The sequence below is a fragment of the Homo sapiens genome, chromosome 4 (assembly GCF_000001405.40).
Source record: "Homo sapiens chromosome 4, GRCh38.p14 Primary Assembly".
Taxonomy (NCBI): domain Eukaryota; kingdom Metazoa; phylum Chordata; class Mammalia; order Primates; family Hominidae; genus Homo; species Homo sapiens.
Genome location: NC_000004.12, coordinates 125,615,346 through 125,617,781, shown reverse-complemented (window position 1 = coordinate 125,617,781; position 2,436 = coordinate 125,615,346).

Here is a 2,436-nt window from a genome sequence, read left to right as displayed (position 1 = left end):
CTGCAACCTCCGCCTCCCAGGTTCAAAGGATTCTCCTACCCTAGCCTCCCGAGTAGCTGGGATTACAGGCGCATACAACTACGCCCAGCTAATTTTTGTATTTTTAGTAGAGATGGGGTTTTACCATGTTGGCCAGGCTGGTCTAGAACTCCTGACCTCAGGTGATCCACCCGTCTTGGCCTCCCAAAGTGCTGGGATTACAGGCATGAGCCACCGTGCCTGGCCTATTTGTGGTCATTTTTTGAAAATGTCCACTAGTTAGTTAAATACACATGACAGCATGCCAAGGCTTAGGTTAAAGCTAGAGATGCTGAACTGCTGCACTATGGCTGTGGTAGTAGGTACAGTTACTGAGGCTGATGGTAAAGGTGCTGAGCCTGAGACTAAGGCCCACAGTGAGAGGGTTAGAGGATGGAGATGAGGAAAATTAGAAACCCTCTTGTCTACTCACATCTCTGTTTTCTAAATCTCTGTTTCATTTAAGTTGGATTAAATGGTAATCTTTGGATCAAGTGATACATTTCAAATGCAATTATCACATATTAGAACTTTAAAAAAAGCATGTACCTATAATATAACTTAAATTTTGGTCAATGCCATGCTAAAGCTAAATAACTTATCTATTTGCGATAGTTATTTAGAGTTAGTTCCTGCTACCGTTGTTCTTATTGTTCTAAGAATTATAATTACTTAATAATTTGTTTTAAATTTGTTTTATAAGTAGAGGTTTAAAAAATTAGTGATGAAAAGAAAATAAAAATTCAAAATTATTAATCTTTATTAAACTTTTATGGATGTCCTATATTTAATTACAAGAAACATACATTTCTAAGTAATTAAATGTTTTTTCCAACTGCTATATTCTGTAAACTATCCATAGACTAATTAGTCAGTTTATAAAGCAAATATTCCTCTAAAACTTTACATTTTAATCAGAAATGTTAATGAGTTTGGTAATTCACACTATAGGTGCTAAATGATCAAAGTTGTATTTAATAGCTCAGGCAGTGGTTAGTAATGAGTATAGCAAGATTATCCTACTAATATATTACATAGGAAATAAGCAGTTTCTAAAAGAGCTAAAAGCAGAACTGCCATTCGATCCAGCAATCTCATTCCTGGGTATATACCCAGAGGAATACAAAGCTTTCTACTATAAAGATACATGCATGCGAATGTTCATTGCAGCAGCACTCTTCACAATAGCAAAGACATGGAATCAACCTAAATGTCCATCAGTGACGAACTGATTAAAGTAAATTTGGTACATATACACCATGGAATACTATGCAGCCATAAAACAGAACAAGATCATGTCTTTTGCGGGAACATGGATGGAGCTGGAGGCTGTCATCCTTAGGAAACTAGCACAGGAGCAGAAAACCAAATATAGCAAGTTGTCCTTTGTAAGTGGGGGATAAATGATGAGAACTTTCGAATGCAAAGAAGGAAACAACAGACGCTGGGGTCTACTTGATGGGGGAGGTTGGGAAGAGGGAGAGAAGCAGAAAAGGTAACTATTGGGTACTGAGCTTAATACTGGGATGATATAATAATATGTACAAAAAAATAGAATCATGAATTAAAAAAATACAATCAGTACCAGAATATGGAGTCCTGAATTATTTTTAAATGATATTTTAATTTTTTTGTTTTCTTTCCTTTTGCATCCATTCCAAAATTTCTTGTAGAATTTCTACCTCCATCCAGACACAAGTATATAACTTTAGAAAAGACAAAAATGATCATATACTCACTTCAGATTGAGTATGAAAACGCTGTGTTGTCACAGAAGTTCTGCAATCAGATTGTAAGGAAAATGCTTTCCCAGCATCATTCTCAGCCTGTGGAATGTGCTACATCCGTGTACAATTAAAATGTTTATAGATATAAGGTAGTTAATATGATTTTCAATAAATCCCATATGGACTCTTTCATCTATCATAATTTTATGTTTGAGTCTAGTCTCTGGCTCCACCAAGTTTATTTATCAACAACTCAAATATTTCAACTCCTATCTTTTCTCATTCTAATTTCATTCTGGATTTCCACATCAACTTTATCCAAAATAAATTATCTTAGGAAAAGAAGAGTATAACATATATAAAAATTAACAAATAGATAATATTTTGCATAAATACTTTTGAAGGGAAGTCACAAACTTAGAATTGTGTCCTTGGAAATTACGCCTTCAGTTTTCTTGTCTAACTTGAAGAAATGACTCTAATTTCCGGCTCAATTAAGGAAAAAGCCAATTGTATAATGGGATAACAAGGAAAGAATTTGTGGGAATGGCTGGTTTCAATTACCTAACTACAATGGGCTTGTCAACATCGTTTGTAGACTAAAGTTTACTACAATGACCAAGAACTCAGACTTTTATTCTAAATATGCCTTTCTTCTTACCATGTCTCAGAAAAAGGTAGACTATCAGCC